The sequence below is a fragment of the Homo sapiens genome, chromosome 2 (assembly GCF_000001405.40).
Source record: "Homo sapiens chromosome 2, GRCh38.p14 Primary Assembly".
Lineage (NCBI taxonomy): Eukaryota > Metazoa > Chordata > Mammalia > Primates > Hominidae > Homo > Homo sapiens.
Genome location: NC_000002.12, coordinates 98036604 through 98053421, shown reverse-complemented (window position 1 = coordinate 98053421; position 16818 = coordinate 98036604). Strand labels below are relative to the sequence as shown.

The 16818-nt window shown below is 43.1% G+C and overlaps 1 long non-coding RNA gene across 1 annotated transcript, besides 2 other annotated features; it reads left to right on the top strand.

Moving 5' to 3' along the window:
* Positions 1–1022: 1022 nt before the first annotated feature.
* Positions 1023–8186, top strand: LOC105373501 (uncharacterized). Its single transcript, XR_923092.3, has 3 exons — positions 1023–1132; positions 4430–4671; positions 7860–8186. It is a non-coding gene; the product is annotated as an uncharacterized LOC105373501 (long non-coding RNA).
* Positions 5112–5612: an enhancer, noted in NCBI's record as "H3K27ac hESC enhancer chr2:98664273-98664773 (GRCh37/hg19 assembly coordinates)". NCBI's record gives its function as "activates a minimal SCP1, AML or CMV promoter by ChIP-STARR-seq in naive H9 embryonic stem cells {active_cell/tissue: H9 hESC(naive)}" and the evidence as "EXISTENCE:reporter gene assay evidence [ECO:0000049][PMID:30033119]".
* Positions 5613–6113: an enhancer, noted in NCBI's record as "H3K27ac hESC enhancer chr2:98663772-98664272 (GRCh37/hg19 assembly coordinates)". NCBI's record gives its function as "activates a minimal SCP1, AML or CMV promoter by ChIP-STARR-seq in primed H9 embryonic stem cells {active_cell/tissue: H9 hESC(primed)}" and the evidence as "EXISTENCE:reporter gene assay evidence [ECO:0000049][PMID:30033119]".
* Positions 8187–16818: the final 8632 nt, after the last annotated feature.

Sequence of the window (16818 nt, the reverse complement as noted above, 5' to 3'; positions counted from 1 at the left end):
ACCCTTTTTATAAACCCTTAATCCTAAGGCTTGCAGAGGCATAAAGATCCGTCTTCTGTAACTTCTTCATGCTGAATAGGGGCAATGATATTCCTGCCTAACTATGAGGGCCTCTTGCATTCAGGGTAGAGAGGAGCTCAGTCAGAAAGCATTAGTATGGTAAGGTCCATTTATAACTTTTGAGTTTCAACAAAAGGTGATATTTGGAAGATTAATAAATGTTTAATTTAAGAAAGCATTCAGTAAGTTTGTCCTGTATTCCTACACAAAGAGTATTTGGAAAATTAATAAGTGTTTAATTTAAGAAAACATTTAGTAAGCTTGTCCTGTATTCCTACACAAAGAGTATAACAGCAATATATTTCACAAGAGTAAAGGAAAATAAGTAAAGTTATTCCAAGTAAACTAAATTAGAAAGCTTTTCATGAACTGGGCAACTGTTGGAACTAAGCTGATATGGGGTTGTTAGCTGATTGTAATGTGCCCAGAATTAGAATACTGATCCAGATTTTTGCATTACCCATCTCTCTTGTTTCTTCTGAGCAGCAGTTAGACATCAGTGGTTGGTTCACAGGAATATGCAGTGTTAGACTAAATTGCAGAAACAAACTTAAAAACAACTGATAAGACTAGAATCTAATACAAAGTATACCAGTTTTTGAAATGTAATATTTCTCTCTCCAGTTTCCTATTTTTACTAAAGACAAATCATGGTAAGACCGATTTGCTTTATTATACTTGGCCTGATTATTTGTACAGCAAGAATAATTATTTTTCACATAAGCTCATTTTAAATTGGCTTTGAACTCTATTCCATAGAAGGAATTTCAGATAAGACTTCTTTTTTTTAAATTGAGACAGAGTCTCGCTCTGTCGCCCAGACTGGAGTGCAGTGGTGCTATCTCGGCTCACCAGAACCTCCACCTCCTGGGTTCAAGTGATTCTCCTGTTTCAGCCTCCCGGGTTGCTGGGATTACAGGCCCTGCCACCATGCCCAGCTAATTTTTTTTCTATGCTTTTAGTAGAGACAGCGTTTCACCATATTGGCCAGGCTGGTCTCAAATTCCTGACTTCCAGTGATGTGCCCACCTCGGCCTCCCAAACTGCTGGGATCCACTTTGCTCTGCCTCAGGTAAGACTATTTTACAGCCGAGCCCAGCCATGGGTTTGCACCCTCAAATACCTGAGTTGGGTAAATTTTTTTCCTCTCGAGGTCACAAGATAACTTGGGGCTCCATGACCTGTCAGAAAGTGACATTCTTTACTCACCACAGGTTAGAAATTCTGCACAGAGACTGTTTTAGGCAAGGTATGAGGCCAGTCCCCCAGGGGGCTTTTATTGGCTCTATATGTTAGGTTTAATACCCTAAAGGAAAACATGCTGTTCCAGTCAAAGCCTTAGCAAAATAACCAATGTCTCCCGTTGTGTCCTGTTACAAAAGAAAACGGATTTTTATTGCACCTATGCAAATAACTATATTGCCATAAGTTAAGAATACTTACAAACAGTTTCCAAATTTTAGAGAAATTAAATACAAAGAAATAAAAATAAATATGCTCCAAATTCTGTTCATAGGAGTACACTCAACTGTTAAAAGCTGTAAATAGCTCAAAAGAAAAGTTTCCTTGACTCTGAAAAACAAAACAAAGGATCAGCAATGTTTTAAGCAAAGTTAAAAAGATTAGACTTCTTCAGTTTAGTCCATATAGTTAACTTCTGTTTGATAGTTATGAATATTTCAGTTCTCCATTAGAGTTCTGAAAGTTTTTTCCTTTATTCTGATGACACAATCTCCAAAGTTATCAGAAAACCTGCATTTAAGAACACCTATTAGAGTTCTATAATTGATTATAAATCACCTTTTAAAGAGGATTAAAACGAGGTAACGATTGGGCCAGGCACAGTGGCTCACACCTGTTATCCCAGCACTTTGGGAGGCCGAGGCAGTTGGATCACCTGAGGTCAGGAGTTCAAGACCAGCCTGACCACCATGGCGAAACCTCATCTCTACTAAAAATACAAAAACTAGCTGAGCATGGTGGTGGGCACCTGTAATCCCAGCTACTCAGGAGGCTGAGGCAGGAGAATCACTTGAAACCAGGAAGCAGAGGTTGCAGTAAGCTGAGATTGCGCCATTGCGCTCCAGCCTGGGCAACAAGAGAGAAACTTTGTCTCAAAAAGAAAAAAAACCAGGTAACAATTGTCTATGGCTGACAAAATGTTTTAGGGGAGCCACGATCAAAGAAACAATTGACAAGGAAATTTGTTACCTCCATGGCATACAATGATTTTATGTAACGATTATCATTATTACTGATAATGTACACTAAGTCATATCAGAATTATAAGAGTTTCCCATGATTTTGGAATATATATACCAATAACATATTTATACAAATATGGCCCAAAGAAAACCAAACACCATTTTATATTTGACAATGCTCCCTGTATGATTTTTGTACCAAATAAGCCAAATGTCACTGTTGCATTAGTGCATTATCAATGTCAAACCCAATTCTTAATAAAACCTTATAAATATATCGATCCAATCTTAATCAGTTTGACCATAAGGTAAGATTCTTATAAACCTTTTATAACCCTTTACAAGTTTTTGTTAAATAGCAGATCATAAGCAGGTTTTTGCTCTAAGAAAAATCTGTTGTGCTTTTATTCCAATTTTTAATTTATAGAAAAACTGAATAATACTCCTTTAATTTAGCCAATGTCCACACACAGAATCTCTTTTACAATTAATTTTCTACAAACCCTCCACAATTGTTCAAACCTTTATTCTAACTTAAAACAATTCTTTAACCCCTTAGGCAAAAAAAATGCACATTCCCATGCCTTCTTGTAATCTTTCGCCAAAAACACATTTTACTTTCTTTACACACCTTGCATGTAAAATTTTTTTTAGTAGTTTTAGTTACATATTATAACGTTAACTTTTAGCAACTTTTATTTTTGGTGAAAAACTTGGTAAGTTCGGGATTTTAATTATATACAAGGTGTGGCGCCTAGCCTAGGACACACCAGACAGAAGTGTAGATAAGAGCTGACTCTCCAGCATAGCTAGGTTGCATGACTAACTCCACATGTCCCCAGGCCTTACCTAGCTATAAAGCAGGCAAGTTGTACAGCAAGAGTCATAGTGGCATTTTATGAAGCATTTACAAGGCTTAACAACCTTTGAATTGTATGACATTTCTTGCATAAATTCCCTTTCACAAATCCTTTCATGACTTACACAGACCATCTGAGATATTATTGGACTTTCTGACCTGCCCTAAACATCCCTCCTGTTAGACAACCAGTCATTTTACTTTAGGACAAGAATTTCCCATACAAGATCCTTTCTTACATAAAATCCCTTTCTTAATAATCTTCTTTGTATAGCAAAGGGGCATGGCTAATTCCACATGTCCCCAGGCCTTATCTAGAACCTCATGGCTTTAAGGTAGGTAAATTGAACAATTTTGGAAAAGTTAAAGCAGCAGTTTATGACCTTAAAGCCTTTAGCAAACTTAATATCTGACCTGCATAATTTAGACTAAATGTTTTTATTTTAACAATAATTTTAAAAGCTGTTTTTCCCAAAGATTACTAAAGTTATATGAACTAAAAGGCATTACAGTTTCTATTTTGCTTTTAAAATATTTGATGTAAGTGCTTATTTTTGTTTCAGCCAATTAATTAGAGCTCTTATATATAAACATTACACACAACACATATGTAGCTACAAGAAAGACAGAAGATTATACTACAGTAGTTGTAAAATTTTTCATTTGCCAGTTTTTAAGTTTCTTCATTGGATTACTGGCTTTAGGATGGAGCCCCCGGAAGAACAGGGCCAGGAAAGTGGTCTCTGTTTCCTCCTGTTTTTCCCAAGGAGTCTAGGCTGTTAGAGTTTAACTATCCGCTTTTAATAGTACTGATTTTAACCATAGCACTCTTTAATAAAGTCCTTTTAGAATTTCTTATGCCAAACGGCCGATATTTCTGACTTTTGAACTTTACCAAAGGTAACCTCCCAGGTGCTTAGAGAAAGGAAAATTTAAGACAGTCCACAGAGGAGAAGAGAATAGACAAGGTCATGCAGGTATTAAACCAGAAACGACTTACTTCCTAGGTGGGGAATTGAACCTGGACCGCTACTGTGAAAGCGCAAAACCTTAGCAACAGAGGTGCAGCATGGGACAGCCTCTGTTTCCTTCCCCAGACGGAGTCTAGAGTAGTTAATTTTGAGCTTGTAAAGGCTTTTAACTTTTTAATATGATTTTTAGCACTAACTATGACATGAACCCTAAAATTTCTGTTCCCTGGAAGGCAGAGACCAAGAGAAAGTACCGCCATGTGGTTAAAAGGTCAAGCTCCCAAGGACATAAAATAAGGTGGAAACTTCATCCAGTTGTTTTTTGTTTGTTTCAGGGACCTGCAGCCAAGTTCGTTACGGACCAGCTTGCTGAGTTGTCTTGAAAAGCGGGCTTACAGGTGTTCTAAGCCCATGTTTTATCCTGAAGTTCCCCTCGACAAGAAAAACGAATTCATAGCACAAAGTACACCAGTTTAAGACTAGCCTTAGAATTCTTTTTTGCATTAATCCAAACAGAAGAGATTTGTTTTACCATTCCTTCAATCGTTCCCACAGAGAGAAGTCAGAAATCTGACTGGTAAGAAATTTTTACCCTTTTGCCGGCATGCCAATCTTCTGGGTTCTCTTTCTCTGAGCAGTCCTAGTGATCCAGCTTGTGGCACCATCACCCTGGGGCCAAGCCACATTATAAAGGAATTTTTTTTTTTCATTCTGGCCAGAGCAAAATACATGTGATAAAACACAGACATTAGCCACTCTGCTTAGCACCCAATATCAAACTGGCAAGGCTTAAATTTTCCCCCAGATGAGTCCCATCATCTTTAATCCAACCTCCGACTTGGAGTATCAACATATGGTCTCTGGGCAAGATGGTCACCCTGAGTGACAGAAAATATAGGAAAGGAAAAGTAGAGAAGGAAAGTATTACCTGTGGTAGGGTGGGGAAGGTGAAGAGCTCAGGGAAGCCAGAGAAAACGCCCACTCATTGCAGCCGACAATGAAAAGTTCAAGGCCGGGTGTGGTGGCTCGAACCTGTAATCCTAGTACTTTGGGAGGCCGAGGCGGGTGGATCACCTGAGGTCGGGAGTTGAAGACCAGCCTGACCAACAGGGAGAAACCCTGTCTCCACTAAAAATACACAATTAGCCTAGCGTGGTGGCGCATTGCTGTAATCCCAGCTACTCAGGAGGCTGAGGCAGGAGAATTGCTTGAACCTGGGAGGCGGAGGTTGTGGTGAGACGAGATCGTGCCATTGCACTCCAGCCTGGGAAACAAGAGCAAAACTCCATCTCAAAAAACAAGAAAGGAAGGAAGGAAGGAAGAAAGAAAAGGAAAGGAAAGGAAAGGAAAAAGGAAAGGAAAGGAAAAGACAGGACAGGACAGGAAAGGAAAGGAAAAGAAAGGAAAGGAAAGGAAAAGACAGGACAGGACAGGAAAGGAAAGGAAAAGAAAGGAAAGGAAAGGAAAGGAAAGGAAAGGAAAGGAAAGGAAAAGACAGGACAGGACAGGAAAGGAAAGGAAAAGAAAGGAAAGGAAAGGAAAGGAAAGGAAAGGAAAGGCAAGGCAAGGCAAGGCAAGGCAAGGCGCGGTGGCTCACGCCTGTAATCCCAGCACTTTGGGAGGCTAAGGCGGGAGGATCACCTGAGGTCAGGAGTTCGAGACCAGCCTCAACATGGAAAAACCCCGTCTCTACTAAAAATACAAAATTACCTGGGCGTGGTGGTGCATGCCTGTAACCCCAGCTACTTGGGAGGCTGAGGCAGGAGAATTGCTTGAACCTGGGAGGCGGAGGTTGTGGTGAGCCGAGATCGCGCCATTGTACTCCAGCCTGGGCAACAAGAATGAAACTCCGTCTCAAAAAAACAGAAGAAAAGAAAAGCTCAGGTGGCCGCTTTTCAGTAGCAAAGGGATCTTTTCCAGCAGTCCCATCAGCTCTTAAGTTTCCCCTTTTAGGGAGGAAAAAGCTCCGCATGTCCCATGATCCTGTACATGCCTAACCCTGTCACCCACAGCCATCAGCAAAGAGTGCAAGGCAGATTAATCCAAAGAGAATAGCAGTTAACATCCCGTAGTGCCAAACCTGCTTTTAGCCGAGAAGGACTTATACTGAGAGGGGCCTCTAACTTCCTAAATCTTAGAAGGGACTCTAACCCTCCTAAGTTGGGCCTCTAACCCAAGGTCGGTCAAGCGTCCTTGCCTTTTATTAAGAGGGACCTCTAACCCACTCTGTTTTAGGAGAGACTGTAACTTCCCTAGCTGGGTCTGTAACCCAATCCCATTCTTTATCCAGGTACTCCGCCACTCACCCAAAGTTGTCCAATCACTTTACCTTTATCCAGGTACCCCACCAATTACCCAAAGTTGTCCAATCAGTGCTGCAGTCTATTTCCTTTGGGTTGCGGGGGGCGTTCCTCAGTATTGTCCCTTTTGTGGCTCACAAGAAAAATGTTACTGAACCCCACCATTTACCCAAAGCCAGCATTTGGGTCAGGGGTTTCTGCAGTAAAGTCACTACCGTGGTTGCCACAAATATGTTACAGGACTCCAACACTTACCCAAAGGTAGCTGTTGGGTCAGGGTTTCTGCACTACAAGTCTCTTCTGTGGTCACCAGAAATATGTTACAGGAAAGCAGTCCCGATCCAGACCCCAAGAGAGGGTTCTTGGATCTCACCCAAGAAAGAATTCAGGGTGAGTCCATAGAGTAAAGTGAAAGCAAGTTTATTAAGAAAGTAAAGGAATAAAAGAATGGCTACTCCATGGACAGAGCAGCCCCAAGGGCTGCTGGTTGCCCATTTTTTTGGTTATTTCTTGATGATATGCTAAACAAAGGGTGGATTATTCATGCCTCCCCTTATTAGACCATACAGGGTAACTTCCTGATGTTGCCATGGCATTTGTATACTGTCATGGTGCTGGTGGGAGTGTAGCAGTGAGGACGACCAGAGGTCACTCTCATCACCATCTTGGTTTTGGTGGGATTTGGCTGGCTTCTTTACTGCAACCTGTTTTATCAGCAAGGTCTTTGTGACCTGTATCTTGTGCTGACCTCCTATCTCTTCCTGTGACTTAGAATGCCTTAACTGTCTGGGAATGCAGCCCAGTAGGTTTCAGCCTCATTTTACCCAGCTCCTATTTCAGATGGAGTTGCTCTGGTTCACACGCCTCTGACACCCTCAAATGATATTGAAGTCCTAACCCCAGTATCTCAGAATTTTACCTTATTGGGAAATAGTGTTGTTGCAGATACAATTAATTAAGTTAAGACAGCCCTGGAATAGAGTCCCTAATTCAATATGACGTGATGTCCTTATATAAAAGGGAAATTTGGAGACAGACATGTACACAGGGAGAATGCCATGGGAAGACTGGAGTTATCCCGCCACCAGCCAAGGCCCTACCAGAAGGTAGGAGAGAGTCCTGGAACAGAGCCCTTCCTAATGCCTTCAGAGTGGTGGCCCTCCTAAAGCCTGAATCTTTGAGCAAGGCCTCCACAACTCTAAGAAAACTGTAAATTCCTGTTGTTTAAGCCACCTTGCCCTAGCTTATGGTATTTTATTATAGTGGCCCTAGCAAACTAATCCATCCAGGTTTCTTTCGATTAGTGTTTAACATGGTAGATCTCAGGGCTATGGCTGCTATTTAGTTTTTGCTTTTTGTTTTTCTCTCTGCTTTTAATTTCTCTATTTTCTTTTTTCCTTACTTCCTTTGGGTTACTTGAACATTTTTTAGAACTCCATTTTGATTTATCTATGCCTTTTAAAAGCGTATGTCAAGCCTCTGAGCCCAAGCCGGCCTGTATACATCCAGATAGCCTGAAGCAACTGAAGAATCACAAAAGAAGTGAAAATGGCCGGTTCCTGACTTAACTGATGACATTACCTTGTGAAATTCCTTCTCCTGGCCCAGGAGCTCCCCACCAAGCACCTTGTGACCCCCGCCCTGCCCTCAAGAGAACAACCCCCTTTGACTGTAATTTTCCACTACCCACACAAATCCTATAAAACTGCCTCACCCCTAGTTCCCTTTGCTGACTCTTTTTTCAGATTCAGCCCACCTGCACCCAGGTGATTAAAAAGCTTTATTGCTCACACAAAGCCTGTTGGTGGTCTCTTCACATGGACACGCATGACATTTAGGTGCCGAAGATCCAGGACAGGGGGACTCCTTTGGGAGACCTGTCCCTTGTCCTTGCACTCACTCTGTGAGGAGATCCACCTACTGTCAGGCCTCTGAGCCCAAGCTAAGCCATCATATCCCCCTGTGACCTGCACTTATACATCCAGATGGCCTGAAGCAACTGAAGATCCACAAAAGAAGTGAAAATAGCCAGGTCCTGCCTTAGCTAATGACATTCCACCATTGTGATTTGTTCCTGCCCCACCCTAACTGATCAATTGACTTTGTGACAATACACCCTCCCCGCCCTTGTGATAATGTACTTTGTGATATTCCCCCATCCTTGTGAATGTGCTTTGTACAATACACCCTGCCCACCCTTAAGAAGGTACTTTGTAATATTCTCCCCTGCCCTTAAGGTACTTTGTAATATTCTCCCCACCCTTAAGAATGTACTTTGTAAGATCTACCCCCTGATCGCAAAAAAATTGCTCCTAACCCCACCGCCTATCTCAAACCTATAAGAACTAATGATAATTCCACCACCCTTTGCTGACTCTCTTTTCAGACTCAGCCCACCTGCACCCAGGTGGTTAAAAAGCTCTATTGCTCACACAAAGCCTGTTTAGTGGTCTCTTCACATGGATGCACGTGACAGTGTATATCTTTGAATAGCTTTTTTTATGTAATATGTTAAATATTTAAGACAATAATGATATAATTATAGATATTAATGATAAAATTGTCTTAAATATTTCCCCTGCTTACATTTAAAACCACAATAGTGGCTACACTTTTTGCTTCCAAAAAGTGGAAACGTTACAATTTTTGCTTCCACCATCATCAAATGTCATTTAGGAAAATCAAAAAGTGAGTATATTGTATTTTTGCTTACTGTGTTTTCTTGCTTTCTGCTTTTCCAGAGTTCCTTCTTTTATTATTTTCTTTCTGTTTGGAGAGCTTCCTTTATTCATTATTTTAGGGTAGATCGGCTGGTAAAAAATTATTTAGTTTTTCTTCATCTGAGGATGTCTTGATTTCTTCTTCATTATTGGAAGCTATTTTTACTGGATATAGAATTCTGGGTTGATAGTTATTTACTTGAAATATTGTGCCATTTCCTTCTGGCCTCTATGGTTTTGGATGAGAAATTTGTTGTAATTAAATTACAACAAATGTATTGTTGTTTTTTGGCTGCTCTAAAGATTTATATTCTTTTACTTTAGTTTTCAGACATTTGACTATAATGTGTTTCGGTGTGGATTTCTTTATGTTAATTCTATTTAGAGTTTGCTCAGCTTCTTCCATCTGTGAGTTTACATCTCTTACCAAATTTAGGAAGTTTTCTAGACATTATTTCTCCCAGTACTTTTTTAGCCCTGCCCTCTCTCTCTTCTCCTACTGGAACTCTGATGAGATAAATATTAGATCTTTTGTTATAGTCCCATAGGTTCCAGAGGTTCTGTCTATGTATTTATTTATTTTTAGTCTATTTTTACTCTGTTGTTCACCTTGGGTGTGAACTCAAAAGTATCTGAGACAGATCTCAATCGATTTAGTTTTTTTTGCTAAGGTTAAGGAGCCCTGCGTGACACATCTTCAGGAGGTCCTGATGACATGTGCCCAAGGTAGTCAGAGTGCAGCTTGCTTTTATACATTTTAGGGAGATATGAGAAATCAATCAATATGTGTAAGATGTACTTTGGTTTGGTGCAGAAAGGCAGGACTGCTCAAAGTGGGGCCTTCCAGGTCATAGGTAGATAAGAGACAAACAGTTGCATTCTTTTGGGTCTCTGATCAGCCTTTCACTGAATACACAGTTTATATGTGGGTGGGGAGGGGGTGAAGATAGAGGAACAGTCATGCCTTCTTCTGGCTCAGTGAATCTGCATTTTCGCATAAACAGTAGGGCAGAGGAAGCCATTAGATAACCATTTGACTCAGGTGAGCAGAGGGATGACTTTGAGTTCTGTTTGTCCTTCCAGCATCTGTGAAGATAAGCTATCAATTTACATTGCCAGGGTGAAATTCAACAGAATTGTTTTAGGATAAAGATCTTGAGGCCCACAAGGAATTCCCATGTGGGCAAATGGTGAGGGAAGGATGTAGCTTCTTTATCCTTGTAGCTATCTTATTTAGGAATAAAATAAGAGGCAGGTTTGCCTGATGCATTTTCCAGCTTGAATTTTCCCTTTGGCTTAGTGATTTGTGGGTCCTGAGATTTATTTTCCTTTCACATTGGGTAGTCTCTATTGTGCTATCTTCATTTTCTTTCATTCTTTCCTCTGTCTCTTCCACTTGCTTTTGAGCCTTTCTATTGCTTTTTTGGTTGTTGTACTTTTCAGTTCTAAAATTTCCATTTGTTTCTTTATGGCTTCTATTTCTTTGCTGAGACTTTCTATTGTTTCATTTGCTTCAAGCAGGTTTACAATTGCTCATTGAACCATTTTTTATAGCTGCTTTAAAATCTTTGTCAGATAACTTTGACATCTTTGTCAACTTAAGTGTTGAAATTTATTGATTTGTTTCATTCCGAGATCTTTCTGGTTCTTGATGAGTTTTTTAAATTGAATCCTAGGTATTTTGGTTGTTATACTATGAGACTTTGGATCTTATTTAAACATTCTTTTTAGCTTCCTTCTTTTGATGCCACTCTGGCAGAAGAAGTGAGGTTGTTGCCATCTCATTCCTGCCTAGTGAGGATCAAAGCCCAGGTCCCCCAGCTGGCCTCCTTTGGCACTAGGGGAGTGAGGGGTCCTCAATACTACTGGGTACAGTGGAAGCTCTGGCTCCCCCACTGGGCTGTACCTTCTGCACTGGAAAGAATAGGAGTTTGTCCACACTCTCCCGACACGGTCTCCAGTGACACCACTGGGGGTGGCCTTGTCATCACAAGGTGATGGTGAACATCCTGACCTTCCACTAGACCTTCTCTGACACCACCTGAGTAGGGAGATTGGGACACCCCTTTACAGCCTGATGAGGGTAGAACTCTTGGCTCTCCAGTAATCCTTTGCTTGCATAAGTGGGAGTGGGACCACAGTCTTTTCTGTAGCATTTAGCTGGCGTAGAGCAATTATTGTCTAACAGTTTCCTATCTTGCTAAGCTGTCCCTCTGCTGGCTCTTTGGCTAGGAAGATCAAGCGTTGTTGAGGCTTTTGTTATGTTTTGTTTTGTCTGTGCCATTGGCATTTCTAGTTTTCCAGTTGCTTCTGTTCTAACTTTGGTATATATAAGGGGGAGAAATCGAGGGAACTCATCATCATGTTATTCCTTCAGTCCTGAAGTCCCTAGCCAGTCTTTCTTCTCCTCTCCACCTTTCAGTCTTCTTGTGTTTGTTTTGCCTATGTCCAAGGTTTTTAGTTGTGCTTCACAGGAAGAATACGCAAAGTCCACCTACTCTCTCGGCAGAAGTCCCTTAGTATTTTTTTTTTTTTTTTTTTGAGACAGAGTCTCACACTGTCGCCCTGGCTGGAGTGCAATGGTGCGATCTCAGCTCACCGCAACCTCCACCTCCCAAGTTCACATGATTCTCCTGACTCAGCCTCCTAAGTAGCTGGGATTACAGGTGCACACCACCACACCCGGCTAATTTTTTCTATATTTAGTAGAGACAGGGTTTCACTATGTTGGCCAGACTGGTCTCGAATTCCTGATCTTGTGATCTGCCTGCCTCAGCCTCCCAAAGTGCTGGGATTACAGGTGTGAGCCACCGTGCCCAGCCCCTTAGTGCATCTTTAAGACTTATTTTGGAAGTTATCTTTAGATGGAGAAAAGGAAAGGAGGACGTTGCCTTCCCCCACATTAAGGCCACACTGCTGAGGCACATTTTTTTTTTTAATAATTATCCAGTTAGAGCAGAGCTGCCCTTGCCTGTCTGACATTCAGGTCCCCCAAAGTAGACCTGAGATGGAATCTGGGTGAAAGGGATTTATGAAGAACTGAATAACCAGTAGGGGAATGAGGAGGTGGGACTAAGAAGTGAGGGAGGCCAAACAAGGGGGCATGATCCACAGAGGGTGATGTTGGCCTGATCCTGTGCAGAGCAGGAGGGACAGTACAAGTGTCCTCTCTGAGTCGTTCTGATCAGAGGCAAGGGTGGGGGTCTTCATGGGAGCATGCAATTATACAGGACCCTGTGCTCAGAAGGGCCCATGCTTGGTTTAACCTTCTGCTGTCACCATCTTGAAATTCTCCACCATTTTCTATTAATAGCAAGAGGCTCTATGCTTTTATTTTCCACTGGGCCCAGTAAATTAGGTAGCCAGTCCTAGACAAGGGGGTAGAGTACTTATAGCCTTCTTCCCCAAAAAGGAGTTGGAGGGGTATAAATTCCTAGGCATTCTGGATTCTTCCTGAGCTCGGGGTTCCTGGGCTGAACAATGTCCCCCGCCAAAATTCATGTTCATCAGAACCCCAGAATGTGGCTTTGTTTGGAAAAAGTGTCTTTGCAGATGTAAACAGTTAAGATGAGGTCATACTAGAGTAGGGCAGCCCTAATCCACTGACCGGTGTCCTCATAAGGAGAGAATACAGACAGACAGACACACATACACACACACACGGACCATTGCCATTTGAAGATAGAGCCAGAGGTTGCAGTGCAGCAGGCACAAGCCAAGGAACGCTGGGAATCGCTGGCAGCCACCAGAATCTTGGAGAGAGGCATGGGACAGATCCCGCTCCGAGCCTCCAAAAGGAACAAACCCTGCCAACACCTTGACTGCAGGCTCCAGCTGCCTGCACTGTGGCAGAATAAATGTCTGCTGCTTCAAGCCACCCAGTCTGTGGAACTTTGCTGCAGCAGCCCTAGTAAACCAGCACACCAAGCCAGGTCAACTCCAGGTGCTGGCTGTTGGGAGTCAAGGCACATCTGAACAGGTGTGCCAGAAAAACGGCAAAGGATCTGAGGGGCAAAGGCAGAGCCCAGCTGAAGCCAGGCCCTCTGGCCTTGACCTTTCAGTGAACCAGACCAACTTTGCACCTCTAATATGGGGGCATGGACTAATGACCCAGCCAAAAGGGAGGCATTCAGACAATAGGGGAGGTAGGGCCTCCAGTGAACCAGAGATGGCCGGCGCCACTTGAAGGCATTCACATTCAGATTTTTAAAAACGAAGCAATGCCAACCAAACAAGCATGTCTGAGTGCCCAATTCAGCTCCTGGACCTGGAAATTATATATTCGGCTGGGAAGCTCTCCAGGGACTCAGCTGATCCTCACGTTACAGCTGCTCTCTGGGGTGAAGTTTCTTCTACCTCCAAAGTAGGCTGGCTTTATTCACAACACCTTCATATAGATGGTGTTCTCAGCTATTCACAAAAACCTCCCCTGCTGGCCCTAGGGGTTCTGAAATTCTAGCCAAATTACTTCTTGAGTTAAAACATAAGTTATTTGCTCGAATGTGTTATTGTTACTGGCGTTGAGTCCATACAGGCCTGCGGCAACCTTGATTCTTGCCTCCTCAGAAGAAAGAATTCAACTGAGGGGGCATAAGGCAGAGAGAGGACTGAGGCAAGTTTTAGAGCAGAAGTGAAAGTGTATTAAAAAGTTTTAGGGCAGGAATAAAAGGAAGTAAAGTACACTTGGAAGAGGGCCAAGTGGGCGCCTTGAGAGATCAAGTGCCCGGTTTGAACTTTGACTTGAGGTTCTATATGTTGGCCTGCTTCCAGGGTCTTGCATCGGCTCTCCCGATTCTTCCTTTGGTGGGGAGCTGTCCATATGTAGAGTGACCTGCCTGCCAGCACGTGGGAGGGGAGCATGCGCAGTGTGTTTACTGGAGTTGTACCCGTGCTCACTTGAGGCGTTCTTTCCTTACCAGTTGAGTGTTTCCATAGGCCATATACCAGTTAAATTCCACCATTTTGCCTCTTAGTATGCATGCTTGAGCCCACTCACCCAATTTCCGAGATCCTATCCGGAAGCTGCTGATCACCAGTTCCAGGTTTTTTCTATCTATTGGGAGACTGCCTTTCCCTGGCACTGGCTGTGACCAATTACTCTTTTAGAGAAGACAGTTAACAACCACCTGACCATCACCTGATGGTCGCCTGACATTCCTGGTTGGGTGGGCGGTGAGGGCCTCTCCTGCCCTGCTCATGTCTGACTAGTTACCTACTATAACATTGTCATCAAGGACTATAATATAGGTAGATTAACATAGATTGCACCATCACCTAATCTCTCTGAAGACCCTGCAAAGTCTTAAGCTAAGGGGACATTTGACAGGTACATTTCAATTTAGGTAGGGGAATCAGGAGAGCTGGAGCCACAGGCCACTGCTTGGGGGGCACAGTCCAGACAGAACAACACTGGATAAGGCATCCGGCAGCTGGGCAGAGGCATGCACCATGAGGACAAGGAAAGTTATGTAGAAAAGAAAGAAGGAGGCCGGGCGCGGTGGCTCACGCCTGGAATCCCAGCACTTTGGGAGGCCGAGGCTGGTGGATCACCTGAGGTCAGGAGTTTGAGAGCAGCTTGGCCAACATGGTGAAACCCCGTCTCTACTAAAAATACAAAAATTAGCTGGGTGTGGTGGTGCACGCCTGTAGTCCCAGCTATTCAGGAGGCTGAGACAGGAGAATCACTTGAACCCAGGAGGTGGAGGTTGCAGTGAGCCAAGATCGTGCCACTGCACTCAAGCCTGGGCGACAGAACAAGACTCTGTCTCAAAAATAAATAAATAAATAAATAAATAAATAAATAAATAAATGAAAAGGAAGAAGGAGACCTGGCAGAGAAACGCTATATCTAAATAGTGCTGAGGCATTTGGCTTGATGCCAGAGACCCAAAAATAATAAAATCATAAATGTAAATATATGTATTTTCTTCTTATTTCTGAAATTTCTGAAACTCTAGCTGGCTTACTTCTTGGGTTAAAACATAAAAGTTATTTGATCAAATGTATTATTATTACTGACAGTGAGTCCATACAGGCCTGCAGCAATATCTCTGATGCTGCTCACAAGATCTCTGAAAAGCAGCTATTTACATGTCCATTTTATAGACAGGAGGGTTAAACTCATAAAGATTAAGTTAGTTTTCCAAGGAGCAAGTAGGAGAGCTGGCATCAAGCCAACTTCTTTTCAGAGGCTTACACTTGCTGGCCATCCCAGGGGCTCCTGGCCCATTTGGGTTCAAATCCTGCCAGCAGGAGGTTCCATAGAAATGATAAAACAGAAATAGCCATCAGGGCCAGCTGCCTAAGCCTGCAACGAGCCAGCCACCCAGGACCACATGCTAAGCAGGGGGCCTCTCCTGGGGTTTGGTGCTTTGCAACTGGCATGTTGAAATTCCTAATAATTTGATCTTTGAATCTATGCTCTATTAGTGAAGGCCAATGCAACATGCTCCAGGGGGGCTTGGAGCCTCAGCTCACATGCGGTCCCACTCCTGCTGCCTCCCAGCCTTTCTGGGCTCAGTTGCCCACTCCTTACCCTCAACCAGCAGCTGCCACTGCCCTCCACTCCTGCTGGGGGCCTGGGCATGCCACCATGACCAAAAGAGCATATTAAATAGCAAATTTTAAAAATGCCTTATCAGGTCAAGAAAGAAAAAGAGAGACTGCAAAGGAAAGGAAACAAGCCTTTTTCCTTCTTTATAAGCATGTAGATCCATGCTTTTATCTTGCACTGGTCCTTGAAAATTATATAACCAGCCTTGATAGCAGTGACCTATTATACTGTCTAGAAAAGCAACATGAATGTGCCCAGAAGCCCATGAGCTGCTTGTTGGCTGACTTAACACAGCCCCAACATTCCAGATTTTTAAAACCTATTTTTAATACTAAAAGTAGCTCTCCAGGGACACTCAGCCTGTCACACTGCTCTCAAAAGACGGACCAGTCTTCACAGCTGGTCCATAGCTCAGAACTCTGAGCAAACCAGTTATCAGCTCCCTTAAAAGAGCAAGAGCTAACCCTCTCCTGCAACGGAACTCATCCTCCTTACACATACTCTTAGATTGTGATAGTCTATGTATAAGTAAATTATGATTATTTTGTTCATTTCTAAATTCTACCAGTAGAATCCCAGGGATGTACTTAAAAAGTCAGTCGTGAGCTTTTCCCTTAATTTTACTATTCAATGGGAGTGTGGAAGGGGAGACTCATCTGTCCTCCACCTTCCTGCCAGCTGGTTGCCGTTGACTTCCGAAGATTAAGGTTGCAGCTTTACCACTTGTTTCTGGGTATGTGTCAGCCTTTTTAGATTAAACACAATTATTGCCTAAAGTGGGGCTAAGTTTTGTTCCAAGTCTACTGCGAGCATGCGTGTGTTCTCTCTACCTACCGTGTTGCTGCGGGGAGATTCAGCCCAGCGCTTGTCACTGCTCCAGGCAACAGCTGACAGGCAGGACAGGCTCCTCCTGGGCCTGCTCTCAGGCAGCTGGCAGGAGAAGAGGCTGTGCACTTGAGCCCTGTCCAGTAGCAACCTGGTCACAGAAGGGAAGCAGGTGGCCTGGAGCTGGGACAGCAGGGACTGAGAGGTTCTGCTGCCCTGTGACTGGACAGTGCTGGGTGCAGAGAGCAGCAGGATGCCCCCAAAGGACAGCCACAGTCTTCCTCATGCCCTGTGCATTGGGGACCCAAGGAACAGAGTAGAGATCA